This window comes from Homo sapiens, chromosome 13, assembly GCF_000001405.40.
Source record: "Homo sapiens chromosome 13, GRCh38.p14 Primary Assembly".
Lineage (NCBI taxonomy): Eukaryota > Metazoa > Chordata > Mammalia > Primates > Hominidae > Homo > Homo sapiens.
Genome location: NC_000013.11, coordinates 74256819 through 74272989, shown reverse-complemented (window position 1 = coordinate 74272989; position 16171 = coordinate 74256819). Strand labels below are relative to the sequence as shown.

General features: G+C 38.3%; 1 protein-coding gene and 1 long non-coding RNA gene across 3 annotated transcripts in view; one reads left to right on the top strand and one right to left on the bottom strand.

Annotated features, from left to right (window-relative positions):
* The window catches only part of KLF12 (KLF transcription factor 12), a 619957-nt gene that overhangs the window by 33056 nt on the left and 570730 nt on the right, over positions 1–16171 (top strand). The gene's annotated exons all lie outside the window — the stretch shown is intronic.
* The window catches only part of LINC00402 (long intergenic non-protein coding RNA 402), a 28533-nt gene continuing 25375 nt past the window's right edge, over positions 13014–16171 (bottom strand). Inside the window, exon 2 of the long non-coding RNA NR_144451.1 lies at positions 13014–16057. This is a non-coding gene — a long non-coding RNA (long intergenic non-protein coding RNA 402). The remainder of the gene's footprint in view (positions 16058–16171) is intronic.

The following is a 16171-nucleotide window of genomic DNA, read 5'->3' as shown; positions in this document are numbered from 1 at the left end:
TAAAGCAATGTAGTTTCTCCTTAAGTCCTTGCCTTACAGCTGGTCTATTCTTTTTAAGCTTTTACTTTTATTCCTTGGACACAACCTGGTTTATCTCACTCAGAATACCAGGTACCTAGCATACCAAGGTCTTTCCTGTCTACAAATCAGACCCCTCCTTGGCTTCAGGAAAATGATACTTCTTGAGTTTCCTAAACTCCAACCTGAAAATATTCTTTAGATCACTCACTTTCCCTTCTAGACACATAGCCTTCTTCTAAGTATTTAAGATTTTACTTTTCAAAATTTCCTTTATCCTGCCTCCCTAGTGGATGAAGAGTTTATTCTTGTTTCTTTCAGCTCTTTGTTATCATATTCTATTAATGTTCCATAGCATTCGGCCTAGTCCCCTCCTAGGTAAGGGTTACCACCTGACACTGATCCTCCTTTCCATAACTTCAAACCTAATGTCTGAAGTCTTATCTCAGGCCCTCTTGTGTAGCCATATTCTCTTCTCAAAGACTTTAATATGACAACTATCATACAACTTGTAACATTTAAGTTTGACTCAGTAGCACTGCGGGTTCTCAATCTATACAATTATTTTTAAGTTTTGCTATACCATCCTCTCAGATATTTTAACTTTGATCTTCAATGACAGTCCAAGAAAGTGACTATCACAGGAATTTCCAAGAAAGGAACATCAGGGGAGTCTTAACTTTATTCCACATGTATGTTTAGCCTTTATACATATAAATACTTACTAAATTGACTATTAATCTTGAAATCAGCTGTTAAATTGGTAGAAGTATAAGTCCAAGACTAGAGAGCAATTTATTTGACAAGAGTAATTATAAGTAGCACTTTAGAAGTTAAAGAAAACAATGTGCCAGTTTTCTTTACAACCCTGATTTTTATTTATGATGGCAATATGTACAGCAAAAAATAAATAAATAAATAATAAACTATGTTATCAGACTCCCTTGCAGCTAGGGCTGGTCAAGAAATGCAATTCTTGCCAATAAGATTGCAAATACAAGTCACTGAAGGAGTTTTCAGAAAGTTTTTTATAAAAAGCTGACTCCACTGGCATGAGTTCTTTGCCCCTTGCCCTTCACCCTTCTTCCTAGCTAGAGTCTGGTCACCATACCCATGGGGCAAAGAGCCATCTTGAAATCATGAGGAAGACGACAAACATTTGAAGGGAAAGAGAAGCCTGGATCTCTGATGACATTGTGTATACCATACCTGACTTGCCTACCTTCACACTTTTGTCATGTGAGAGAAAAATTGATCCCTTTTTATGCCACTGTATTTAGTGTTTCCTGTGGCTAGTAGTTCAATATATCTTTAGCTGATAGATATAGTTGGCAAAAAGCTGGATATGAAATGTTTAATAAACAAATATATTTTAGGAAGATGTGTTTATCATTGAGAAAGTGACTTTCCTTTGGAGTAGAAACTAAGGTATTATAAATGCAACACAGTCATTCATTTTTTAAGAGGCTCTTCTGCCTTACAAATGTCTTCTGCTATGATATAAAAATGGTCCTACCATTTTTCACTTTTTTACTGTCTATTGGTCATAAGTTTTCTTAAGGAAGGAGAGAAAATTAAGAGATTAGAGACCTCATATTAATGTCCAAGGCTTATTCTTAGTTTCTACTAATGCTTAAGCATAGTTGCCCTTTTTCTCCTTAAGCTTTATGTTGATTGCAGACAACAGAAAGTTATTCTAATTTAGCAGTCCCAAACCTTTTTGGCATCAGGGACTGGTTTTGTGGAAGACAATTTTTCCACAGATGGGGTGGGAGGGATGGTTTCGGGATGAAACTGTTCCACCTCAGACCATCAGGCATTAGTTAGATTCTCATAAGGAATGCTCAACCTAGATTTTTCACATGTGCAGCTCACAATAGGGTTTGTGCTCTTATGAGAATCTAATGCCACTGCTGATCTGACAGGAGGTGGAGCTCAGGCAGTAATGCACACTCACCCACCGCTCACCTCCTTCTGTGCGGCCCAGTTCCTAACAGGCCATGAACCGGTACCAGCCTGGGGGTTGAGGACTGCTGTTCTAACTAACCTAAGCAAAAAGAGAATTTACTGGAATATCAAGTGGCTCACAGAATTGATGGGAAAGCCAGACCCAATGCAAGTCTAACCCTAACTACCCAGAGTGAGGTCAAATCTCACAGATTAAGTGCATAGTCCATGACACTCCCCTGACTTCAGATACCAGCCCCAAGCTCCAGGGTTCGCAGGCTACCCGCACATCTACCCAACCAGCTACAATTTTGGAGATTCCAACTACACACTCAATAATTTGCTTACAGAACAACTCACAGAACTCAGCAAAGTGTTATGATCAATTTTTTATTATAAAGGTTACAAAGCCATACAGCTAAATGAAGAGATGTATATTGATGGGCAAGGTTTGCGAGGTCCCAACACAAAGTTTTCCAAACACAAAGCTTCCGTGTCCTCAGTATGCTTCATGCCTGTAGCACACTGATGTGTGATTACCAATCAGGGAAGTTCACTCAGGCTTTCAATGTCCACAACTTTTATTGAGGTTTCTCTATGTAGCATCATTGGTTAAATCATCAGCCATATGACAGAACTAAATCTCCAGCTCCTTTTACCTCACTGGAGGTTAGGAGGTTGGCCTGATACCATATCCTGCAAAACCCTAACCCTCTATTCATCTGACTGGTCTTTTTGACATGGCCAGCCCAATCCTGAGTCATCTCAATCATATAAATTACCTAGGAGTCTGCCATGAATCACCTTGTTAGCATACACTATCAGGTGTGATCTGAACGGCTCATCATGAAAAAAAAGACACTCCTATTACTCAGAGAATTCCAAGGGTTTAGAGGCTCCCCCTAGTAAGCAGGACAAAGGCCAACCAAGTTTTATGTTATACAACACTGAAGAACCAGGCTCAGGAAATTAGTAGGAACCAGGATTACAGTTAAGACCTCTCCACTGGAATGGTTGTCTCAGGACATAACTGCCACCTCCACAGACTTCCCTGAAACTCTCCACTGAGATTACCACAAACAGCAGATAGCACTGTGTACACTGAATACCAACAACACTAATGTCACCTCAAAATGACTGGATATTGTCTAGATTCTTTGTGTCCCTTCTCCCATATTCAAAATCCCTGGCATGAGCGGCTCATTATCCAAATTTAGATCACGCACACACACTAGCTCATGAGAAAGACGAAAATTTATACCACGTGGACTTCTAAGGTGAAAGTAAGGATCTTGCTTGAAATAATAGAATTCCTATCACATAGGAACTTGAGCTCCTGGGCAGCAAAAATATAACAAATACCCCTAAACTATAACTCCTTCACTAATTAAAATCTGTATATATCCTTCTCTCAAAAATATGTTTCTGCCAAATATAATGATATCATCGTGTATAATTAAAACACATTTTTTTTACTCTTGCAACAAGGAGACCATCCAGAGTCCCATTATATACAAATCTAAATACATGTCTTGGCTCTTTAGTCACAATCTATTCTTCTCTAATTTTGCCTCCATCACACATAAATATTGTTCAGCCTGTGAACTCAGTATGCTCTATATGAAATAGTGGTGTGCTCTATATGAGCATACTGTGAACTCAGTATGCTCTATATGAAATGAGCAGGAAATAAAAGGTAGATTAGTTAAATATGTAACTATATACAAAGAGAGAGAGAGACAGAGCAAGTAAAATAATACAGAAGTGACTACACTTCTTGTTTATGGAAAATCATGAAGATGAATATGCCTTCCCCACTCCTTCATTTCATGTCCCCTTTGCCATCAGCCGGCACAAAAGCTGGTTGAATAACATTATCTCTGGGGTAATCCAAACCTTTATTCCTGAGAATTCTAAGTCTTAGATGATCCTGCTGTATATGACTAAAGTCACCTTTAAGCCATTTTTAATTTATTGCTATACTTGGCAATGCAAAGGTCTTCCCCAGCCCCACTTTCGTCTCAGTTGATTCTGTCCATTCTCCTTTCTGCCTCCACTGTGAACTAGCAACTCTATTTTTCTTCAGTGTCAGGATTAATCACCCCAGACAGCACTATAATCCCTCTTTTTAGTATACTCAACTCATGGTGAAGAACCTAAAAAGACCAAATAGCTGTCTCAGCTTCCAACTCAAAAGAACACTTGTTACAATGCCTGGTGGATGCATTCATCTCTTGCTTACTAAATCCTCTAAGCCAGAAGTGTTTGGAGTTAGCACAATTTCTAGGGCACATTATGAGCTGTAACCTGAAAAGCATAAAATTTTCTATCACCCTTCTTCTCCAGACTCGCATATTATCTATCTCTGAGAGAAATCATTCCATATACTGCTCTCCTGAACAGGAGTTCCAATCTCATAAGGAGAACTCCTAAATGAAACTGTAAGAGATCCTCCAATGAGCCTCTGAATTATACTGTAAGTGAGCTGCTTTGGGATGATAGGGTACATGATAAAACCACTTATCCCATGACCAGCAGCATATTACCTGATTTCACTCACAAAATAACAATTTCATGGCCAGAGAAATGTTGGACGACATAATCTGATGAGCTAAGAGGCATCTGTTAAGTCCATAATTAACGGTGCTTCTAGAAATATAATAGGCAGAAAAAACAAATCCAGTCCATATCCTTAAGGTGTTTTTCAGTTGGCACAAATACTTGATGTCCCACTAAAAAAAGTAATCACCCTGCCAAAAGTCCCACCCAGGTTCTAGCTCCTTAGCTAAAAATGGACTAATAATTCTACTGGAAAAATTGAGCCCTCAGCAACAGTGATAGCAAAATAATATAGAGAATCTCTCCTTAGTATATTTGTCCCTTTGGCTGTTGTAACAAATTGTCACAAACTCAGTAGCTTAAAACAACAAAAATTCATTCTCTCACAGTTCCGGGGTCCAGAAGTCAGAATCAAGACATCAGTAGGACCTTGTTCCTCCTGAAGACTCTAGGAGAATCTCCTTCCTTGCTTCTTTCAGCTTCTAGTGACCCCAGGTATCCTTTGGCTTTTGACTACGTAACTCCAATCTCTGCCTCCATCTTCACATGGCCTTCTCTGTGTCTCTCTTCTCCTCCACTGCCTCTTTTTTAAAAAATTAATCATAATAATTGTACACATTTGGACGTACATGTGATATTTTGATACATGCATATACTATGTAGCAATCAAATCAGGGCAATTGGGGTATCCATCACCTAAAACATTTATCATTTCTTCATATTGAGCACATCCCAAATCTTCTCTTCTAGATATTTTTAACTATACAATAAATTATTGCTAACCATAGTCACCTGACTGTGCTAACACTAGAGCCTATTTCTTCTCTATAACCATAATTTTGTACCCATTAACCAACCTCTCTTCATCCCTCCTTCCCCCTACACTTTCCAGCCTGTGGTAGCCATCATTCTACTCTCTACCTCCATGAGATCAACTTTTAAAGCTCCCACGTATGAGTGAGAACATGCAATATTTGTCTTTCTGTACCTAGCTTTTTGCACTTCACATAATGAGCTCCAGGCTCATCCATGTTGCCATGAACGACAGGGTTTTCTTTTTTGTGGCTGAATAATATTCCATCCTGTATATATACCACTATTCATCAGTTGATGGACACTTAGTTTGCTTCCACATCTTGGCTATTGTTCTGTCTCTTATAAGGATACATTTTGATGGATTTAGAAGCTACTCAGGAAATCCAGGTGATCTTGTCTCAAATTCCTTAACTTTATTAGACCTGTAAAGACTCTTTCTCAAATAAGGTCATATTCACAGATTCTGGGGATTAGGATGTGGGCATATCTTTTGGGGACCATCATTCAATCCAACACAGTAGTTTTCACTATCACCATTGCTACATAATTCATGAGATCATTATGCAAGTATGAGGAGAATGGGCGGGGAGGCTGACTGACATCTAGAGAGTGAGTTATCATCTATCCTGAACCTTAAGAGACTCTTGATAAGCATTCAAATGGTACACTAATATTTTTCCACTCTGAGAGCATTCAGATGGAAAAAGATATCCACTACCCTCTACCAAAATATTCTTGTTACTTCTAAGCTTCTGACTACCTGCTCAAATTATTAATCATTACCCACTGGTCCACTGGTTTTTGTTATTACTTAACTCAATCTATGACTTCTTCCAGGCAAATTAGACAACAGGATTACTTCTCTTTAGGACCAGCATTGAATTAAGAAGTACAATCATTTACCATAAGTCCACCAGTGCTGGCCCCAGGAAATCAGGAAGAAGCATCTGTAAACCAAGAGCTATCTATCTATCTACGTATCTATCCATTTATTGATTTATTTGGCATCTCAGGCTACTAATTAGTCACAGGAATCCTTCCATGAGGCCACTGGGGTTGAGAGAGAACAGCAGCGTAGCAGGATGATACCAGGAAGATGAGAATCCTCCTTGTGCAATTTAACATGTGCATTTAAGATTGGCTTGGAACCATTCCTGTGCATATGTGTGTGTGTATATGTGCACGTGGATGCATGGGTATGTGTGCATTTCACTTGAGGGAGTACTGCTGTGGATTCCTCACTTTATTTTTTGGTGAATGAGCTTGTGACTCATTCATAATGGGAAATTCAGATCATAATGCCAGGTATTTAGTCCTACCAAGGTCCAGTAGCATTTCAAGAGTTGTTTCTCAAAATAGGACTAGTTACTTACTGGAGAGGTCATAACTTTGATTTTTTAAATGATATTAGAGGTCTTGACTGAGAATTTACTACTGGAGCTCCATAAAGCATCCCAATCTGCTACAAACTCTTCAAGCTTCATTGGATCCGCTGGATCAAATGGGCTGCCAGGTAGAGTTGATTGCACTGCAGCCTGGACTGATTGCCAGGAGCTCTGTTGATATGAGTTAGTGAGGAGACAACATCTGGAACAGCAGCTGCACTTGGAGGCACCGCCTAATTAAGCTTACGATAATCCACACTCATTCTCCAAGACCCATCTGTCTTCCCCATCAAACTAATTGGAGAGTTGAATGGAGCTGCGATAGAAATGACCACAACCTACCATTTCAGTCATTGATGGTAGCACTAATCTCTCAGATTCTATGGGAATATCCTACTGCTCTTGGTTTTTCTTTTAGTAAGGAAGGTGAGATCCAGGACTTCCATCCTTGTTCTTTCCTTTCATAATAACTCTTATTCCTGAGTTAAGAAGTAAATGTGAGTATTTAGCCAGTTGTCTAGAGTATCTTTTCCAAGAACACACAGGAAATGAAGGGAAAAAGAAGAGGATGTGTCTGTAGGTCCCACTATGCCTACAGTGAGATGGGCTTGGGTCAAGACTCTATCACCTGAACATCATACATTTCTACTCTGACCATTGAACCACAGTGCCATTCTTCTATAACAGACATGTGTAATTTGGGAGCCATTATCTTAAAACAACTGAAAGGTCTACTTATATTCTTTTCTTCAGAATATATTTACACCAGAAAACGACCACAGGTCTAGAAATAGAGTAATGACTCTGTTTTTCCTTTGGTGAGCTTCATCCTGAGACATGGGGATTTTATGCAAATTTATTAGGAACTTTGTGATTGCCCATATATCTCAGATCTATAGACTCAATGATCAATAAATCAGTGTTAAATATCTATGTGTCTCTATTAGGGAAAGCACGAATAAATGGCCTCTGGAGGTTAAGTGCCTGACTTCTGCACCTGCCCTTCTCAATCATAGGATCTTTCCAATCTCCACTGTAATCAGGCAGACTATTTCAATATTAGTCCCTCCCATCAATATCCCCAACTGACAAGAGAAGCCACAATCACATTTTTGTAGATACTAGTAGTTCCCTCATAAGTATTTCTCAAGGCCTTAGTAAAAATGGTCATCTATGTCTACTTAGGCAACATAGTTAGGAAGTAGATGAGATTCATGTTATAAATTCGGTCATTTTATTTCTTTCTAGGTACTATTGTAAATAATTTATGGCATCTTAATTTTCTTTAGCATGATCAATAATCTATACAGCTTCCTGTATTAAAAGTAGCTTGCCCTCTCTATGAATTCAGATAATTGCACTATATGAAAAAAAAATAGACTAACCTAAGACTACATTTATTCACTTTTTGGTTGAGCATGTTTGGAATTTAATAAGACATATTCTCCCCTAGGTATTTTATTATACAAATTGTTAAGTATATTTATTTTGTGTATTTATTTTGTTGTATAAAACTATTACACAAAGTTTGACAACATAAATTAGTATGCTGAAATCCAAATTCAGTTACCAGTTTGAAATGAAAATGGGGGAAAGAGGGTTAGGATCTGAAGAGAACTGACTTAAGAGTGGGAAGGACTGCCTCTTCCAACAAAGAAAAGGGTTTTTACCTGAGCTATTTTGAATGCACCAACTGGCTAAGGAAGCTTAAAGAATTTGGATTCTGTGGCTATTTCAAGTCCTTCAAATCCTCCCATATATCTCCATTTTAATATTCAGAATGTCACTCTGTCCCATTTAATATTTTAACTCTCACCAAAGAAGCTGAAGAGGGGATAAGTAATGTGTTAACTTGGCAACTCAAGACTACCCTTTTTATTTATTTTTTGGATACCTCATCTCTACAGCTATAAGAGTCCAAATATTCTGCTAGCATCATCAGGTAAAGTTCCCTAAGCTTAAGTTTGTGACCCAAGAATTTAATATTTGAGCTTGTCATTCTTTTTTTATCCAAGCCACTTAGTTTGTCTAACAGCAGCCCCTCACACACCCAGTTAGTTTTTTTCAGCTGTTATTCAACATCAGCAAATTGATACCCAAAGCCTGATCTTCAATTTGCACTGGATTCCAAGTAATGGAAAGTTAACCGTTTTGTCATTGCTTACCACAGTCTGTCATCCTTCGATCACTGACACAACTGCATTTTCACTGCTTTTAACCCCAGTTATGCCAGGTACAATCCCAGACTTCCTCCTTTTCCCTGAGATCTGGTATATAATCTGCTCCTGGAACCAACTTTCATATTAGTCAAGATTGTGGCTGCCTAGAAAAAAAACAAACCTGGCTATAAAGCACCCAAAATAATTGAAGGATATTTATTGTATACTCCAAAATCAGTAAAAGCCCTGAAGGACAAGATTTTTAAATGGTCAAGAATCCATGGAGTATCATGTTAGCTGAGTATAGGGTCATATGACCAGACCTGAGGTGGTGGGATAGACAGAGAGAATTTATTTTTTCCTTTTTGAGATGGAGTCTCGCTCTGTCGCCAGGCTGGAGTGCAGTGGCGTGATTTCAGCTCACTGCAACCTCCACCTCCTGGGTTCAAGCGATTCTCCTGCCTCAGTGACAGAGGGAACTTCTATTCATCCTTTACTCCCATTAGCTTGCTCTGAATGAGAAGAGAAAATTAAACTCAGTAACTCACTAGAAGTGTGGAGGAGGCTATAAACAGATAAATATTAGTACCATATTACTGGATGAGAGTAACAGGTTGAGTGTCAAACGTGAGCTGACAAATACTTTAAAAAGCAATGATCTCAAACCCAATTCTATATGCTCTTCTACTGGGGCATATATTCATAGAGTCAGAGTCTTTATCTTATGGTTCCTTTAATCTCTTGCTGCATACAATAGCAACTTAAATGTGAATAAAATCCTTAATAATGTTTTCTTCAATTTCCCTTAATTTCTGATGGGTTTGAGCAAGTTAAACTACCTATGTGTAATTTTTCTCAAGGCTACTATAAGTAAAAAGATGTGTACAAGGAGCATTACATTATTTTTTACTTAGCTATAAGAGTTAGACATGAGAAGCATTTTAGTTAGAAGTATAAAGAACTTACTTACTTTAAATACTTTCTCTCTTTTATAAATGAAAATGTCCTTGTCTTTAATAATGTTCATCAATTTGAATATTCCTTTCTTTTTATGTCTTGGAGCTGTTAGACAGTATTTAGCTCTGAGGCTGACATTTGGTATTTTTACTGAATTTGATTTTACTTTCAGCTGTATTTTCAACCTTTTAAAAATATTGAGAATTAAGCACACTGACGAAGAACCAGGTAAAAAATTACGAATGCATATTTGTCAATAACATTAGGGACTCTGTGAGATATATACATATATATATGTGTGTACATACATATATACGTACATATATGCACACATATATATATATACTATTATTCTGAGACATTGCCTTCCTGAGGTCCTAACTGAGTCGGGATCATGCAAGTCTTCTCTGGAAATACAGTTGATCCTCTACATCTGTGGGTTCCACATTCAGGGATTGAACCAACTGTGGATCAAAAAAAATTGTGTTTGTAGTGGACATGTACAGTCTTTTTTTCTTGTCCTTACTCCCTAAACAATACAGCATAACAGTTATATTGTTTACATAGCATTTACATTTCATTAGGTATTACAGGTAATCTATAGATGATTTAAAGTATACAACAGGATGGGCATAGACTATATGCAAGTACCACTCCATTTTATATCAGGGACCTGAGCATCCTCAGATTTTGGTATCCAGAGAAGGTCCTTGAACCAATTGCTCATAGATACTGAGGGACAGCTATTCTTTCTTAGCATTTAAAATTTACAATCGCTCTTGTGCTTTCTTCAAATCTCATGAAGCTATAATGTCTCAGGCTACAGGTTCTTCCAGCCATCATTCACAAAATATTGATCCAACCTCCTACAGCTACAATTATGAGTGATGCCTTTCACAGTGTTGAAGATCAACAACACTTCTAATTGCCTCTCATTTGTTCAATTCTACTTGATCATTTCTCTGAAAATACCTCAAGTCAATATTAAACATGCATTTTACCATCAGCCATGATACTCTACCTGTGTCTTATTGCAAGTTGATTATTTACACCACTTCTGGAAGCCACAGTCTTTCAAAATTGTAGACCAGACCACAAAACACATGGCAAAAAGAGAGGCCCCAGTGCAGTGAGCCACACACACTGAGGAGCACACTCAGCTCGGGACAGCACAGCACAGCACTCTCTGAAGGTGAGAATTTGCAGCATGGTGGGTTCTTGCTCAATGGATGAGCATGTTCATTTGGTCATGAAGCTCTGACTGGCTAACAGCATACAAGAACATTTGGCAAGCACAGAGTTTACCAGTGTACTACCACACACACGTTTGTGTCTGCATGTGCATATTTTTTCAGAAAGATAGTTTAGAGACAAATGGCTTCATAGCAAATCCATGCTGCCCAAAGAAATGTAAAATCAGGCACACCTAGATTTCTGTATCCTTATTAATATTTGTGTATACATATATAATATTTGAAATGTCTGTAGAAAATGTCAAAAGACACTAAAATCTAAATCATATATATCTGTTGTGTATGTGTTTATATACAGTCTTTATATGTTGTTCAAAGATGGCCTATGTAGCCTGTTACTTTATCACAAACTTTTTTTATCTTTTCTTTTTTTGAGATAACATTCAAGAAAAGCTAGCAGGCTTTTACCCAATTTGGTTTGAATAGAATGGGAAAATGAAATTTCCTATCATACTCCATCTAATGCTTCCACCGAAGCACTTTTATTTTGAAATATTTTTTTATTTTCATGCTTCTGTTTAGAAAAAATTCTGCGTATATATTATGGAAATTGCATCCATAAACAGGTAAAATATATAGATGTGAAGATAATTTTCTTCTATTCCGCTTATTCTCTAATTATATTTATACCAGGGAAACACAACACATTTCGGAATAGTTTTCTTTGGGTGATTATTGATATTATTCTGTTAACCACTAGGTCTTCTCAAAAGTGTCACTGCTATTTTAATACATATTGATCTCTTTTTAAATTTTTTTAAAATTTCAATACTTTTCGGAGAACAGCTGGTGTTTGGTTACACGGATAAGTTCTTTAGTGGTGATTTCTGAGATTTTGGTGCACCCATCACCTGAGCACCGTACCCAATGTGTGGTCTTTTTTACCTCACCCCCCTCACACTCTTGCCTCCAAGTTCCCAAAGTCCAGTGTATCCTTAAGCTGATGAACTTCTTTGTTTTCAAAATATTTAGTTTGCTTTTTTCATTTTTTCTCACCTACATTTTTCTTCAAAATTAATGACTGCAAATCTTGTGCTTCTTTTTATTCTTTAACCCAATTTGTTTTTCTTTGTATGTTTGTTATTAACACCAATTAGCACACATACCCGCAAATTTTTATTCTTCCCAGCATTCCTACACATTTACAATTAGTGTCTATGTTCAGCACCTTCATTACTCTTCCAAATCACAGGACCTATTTTTTTTATTGCTTTTCCATTTGAAGCCCAATTTTATTACTTAGTACCTCTCCAGCAATTAATTCACTATTTTATTTTATTTTATTTTATTTTATTTTATTTTATTTTATTTTATTTTATTTATTTTATTTTATTTTATTTTAGAAACAGTGTTTCACTCTGTCACCCAGGCTGGAGTGCAGTGGGGCAATCATAGCTCACTATAACCTCGAACTCCTGGACTCAGGCGATCCTCCCACCTCAGTCTCCCAAGTAGCTAGGACTACAGGTGCACCACCACACCCAGCTAATGTTTCTGCTTTTTGGAGAAATAGTGTCTTGCTAGGTTGTCCAGGCTGGTCTCTAACTCCTGGCCTCAAACGATTCTTCTGCCTCAGCCTCCCAAAGTACTGGGATTCGAGGTATAAGCCATTGTATCCTGCCCGATTTACTCTATTTGAATTGTTGCTATGTGTCACATGAGAGAGAACAGCATGCTCCAATGGTCCAAGTAACCTCTTACCAAAGCACATACTCTGAGACTTTGCAGTTACCTCCGTGTGTGCATGTGTGTGTGTGAGTGTGTGTGTATTTAGTTTACTAACATTTTGAAGCTCCTACTGTATGAAGTACTTTGTATATAGCACTCCAGAGGGGACACAAAAGAAACAGCCTCCACCTTTAATATATTTATAAATTCACTAGAAAAATGCTTAGAAGAAGTAAAATCAATTATTCGTTAAAATGTTAATCAGCCCCAAATGGCATAGTTTATTTATGCAATGCTCCAGCAAATTTTTATCAATGCCTACTATGTACCAGTAGGCCAGGTCTAGGAGTGCAGCAAAATCATGGTATCGGGCCCCACAGCCTTTGAAGTGTGAACAGAAACCTCAAGTGTGGTGAGCATTAAAAAGGACAGACCTTTTGGAGTAGGCAACACAAAAACTCATCCTAATCATGGGGATCAGAAAAGGCTCGATTGAGTTACTGATGTTTACACTAAAAAGATTAATAACATTGAGTAGATAAAAGGAAAGAAGTGGAGAACAAGGACTGCATTGTTGTAGTATTGGCTAAAGAAATTCTTAAATTGGGGTTTTAAAAAAGGCATTTGGAAAGAAAAAACCTTAAGAGGGGCATGCAAGTCAATCTAAATATATTTTTAAAGGATTAACTATGTTTTCTGTGAAAAATTCTGTGTACTGGGAGGGACATGGATTAGTGAAAATGACTGAGGAACAGATTCCAAGTGGAAGAAACACCTGAGTGAAGAATGGAAGGCAAAATTCTGTGTGTATTGGCTTGACCATGGAAGAGAAGCTAGGCAGGAAAGAGGTTGCAGAGAGATGAGGAAAGTCAGTAGAACCTTTACTATCTGAGAAACTATGGTCTAGAAAGTAAATACAAAATAAATGAGAATAAGAGGAATTCGAGGCTAGAAGGGGAATCCCTGGGATACTGTGAGTGTTATTGCCTGGATTAGGGTAATGCGGCAGATGCTTGGTGCCCTGCCCAAATCCCCTTGGCATCCCATTCCCATTTCCATACACACCACCTGCTACCTACCACAAGCATCTGTGACTCTCCATCCTCGGGCTTTCTCTGGCCACAGAAGCATGCCTGGTCTATCTGGGGCACAGGCCAGAAGTTTGGGGAGGTTAATGCCCTTAACCAGTGAAGCACGGAAATTAGCTGATCAGTACCCTAGTTCTCTTGCCCCAGCAGAGGGGGACAACTCTGGGGCATGTTCTACTCAGTCTTCCAGCGCTCTCTTTCAGGAGAGAGCACCGGGACCTTCTATTAGCTTTCTTCACTTCTCTGTATTACTTCTCTACTCTCTTAGCCTTTCTGAGATCAACTCCAAAAAAACTGCTTGCATCAAATCCTGGTCTCATAGTCTGCTTCTGGGGAAACTAAGTCTGAGCAGTGAGTTACTAAGAAAATTGAGGAAGAGTGGGGAGTCTTTGGAGATAGCGATAAAGAGATATTCCCTCGTTGAGTGTTTAACCTATGAATTAACTGCCCATCCCCATCATACACATCCAACTCCACGTTCCCCTGATAACAAAGATAACACTTCTTAGTTACATTCTGTTTATCCACTAAATGTACAATAATGGATCACACCAATACTGTCACTGAGAGAGATATGATCCCGCGTTTACAAAAATTTGCAAAAATATAATTTTTAGTGTTTTACATTATTGAGTCCTGGTTATTAATCTCTGCTTGTTTTGGTTACCACATCACAGTGAATGAGAACCCATAAAGTCAGGACATTTCAACATTAATAAAGACCTAAAACACACACAGGCAGAACACTCACTTTATAGGTATTGGAACTGAGACTTAGGGGAAAGAAATGACTTCAGCAAAGTCACACAGCTGGTGACAGGAGGCCTGGGAGTAAGATCTGGTTTCCCTTTCTCTCTGCCAAGTTCAACTTATACATAGCTGTCTTCCAGCAGGGCCAAATACCTTCAAAAATAATAGGAAACTTTGGTTTTACTACACACACACACACACACACACACACACACACACACACACACAAACACAGTAATAGACCAAGATGAACCACTTTGAAGGAAGTTGCCCTTAGTGTTAACAAAAGAGCAGATTTTAGACACAGAAATCACGATTCATAACATTCAAAAACTTGTCCTCCTGCCACGTTTTTTTTTCTGGATTGAAAGATAATAGAAGTTATGTATAGGAGAAGCAGTTCCCTACCCTCTGGTAATGAGAAGATATTTATCTAAGTGACCTTTGTTATTTAATACAGAGAAGACTTTTCAAGTAAGACAGGAAATAGCTGATATCTACTTATCAAAACACCACTCACCAGAATTTAGAAATGAAAATAAAAAAGGGAAAGATGAGTTTGAGCTGAAAACTTCTAGAAAAAAGCAACAAAGACAACCAATGTTGCCCCAGAGGTTGGCAAATGTTAACACAGTTGCGTTGTGGAAACTAATTTGGGTTCACAAAATCAGATGTGTAGAAAGTGCATCATTTTTATAATTATATAACTGAATTAATTTCCGTATCAAGCTCGCAGTCCCCCAGGTGACAAAACTTAATTTCCAACAAATCATGTCCTTGTGCCAAGGTTGCCTCTAAGTTTCTGGGAAACCTTGCAATGTGCTGGAGCATCCACGGGAGAGGGGGATGAACTTTGGATCTGGGTTTTCCATCCATACATGTTCCTGCTCCATCTGGCTCACACTGACCATCAAGCTCTTGCGGTCAGCTGAATTTCAGTGTCGTGTTTGTACCGTTTTCCTATGGCTGCATAGGAAAATGGTTTGCTTCTCCTCGTGCCATGCTGGAGAGTACAGGGACTCTCGGGAGTTAACTCAGTCCACTAGCCTGGACACCAATCATGACATTTCATCTGCTCCTGTGCCATGGAAAAATTCAGGGAACTTGCTGTTTTCCCAAGCCCTCCCCAGAAAGGCAGCACCAGTCTCTTCTATATCTCAGATTTTCAGCCGCTTCCAGGTCCTGGGACTCAGGCCATGGAGTACAGGCAGAGAGTTTCCAGGAACAGCCAATCTCTAATTCCCTCTCCTTCCCCAGCCCATGTACCTCCTCCAGCCTAGGCTCTATAACTAGGAAAACTGGCCCTGGCTCATTACAGATTCTTCCAAATCTTGCCTGTGTTTCGACCGCAACTTTTGACAATTCCATAAGGCAAAATGTTCACTCTGTTTTTTCTCTCTGTTTTGGATGCCTCATGGGTTAGCTGCTTAAGTAGATAAGATGTCACGGAATAACAACTGCAACAACAAAAAAAAGTAGAAGATTAATCAGCAATTAATATATGAAAATATGTCTTCAGGGACAGTGACACAAAATTTAATTATTATTCTACCATTTCATGTGTAATATAA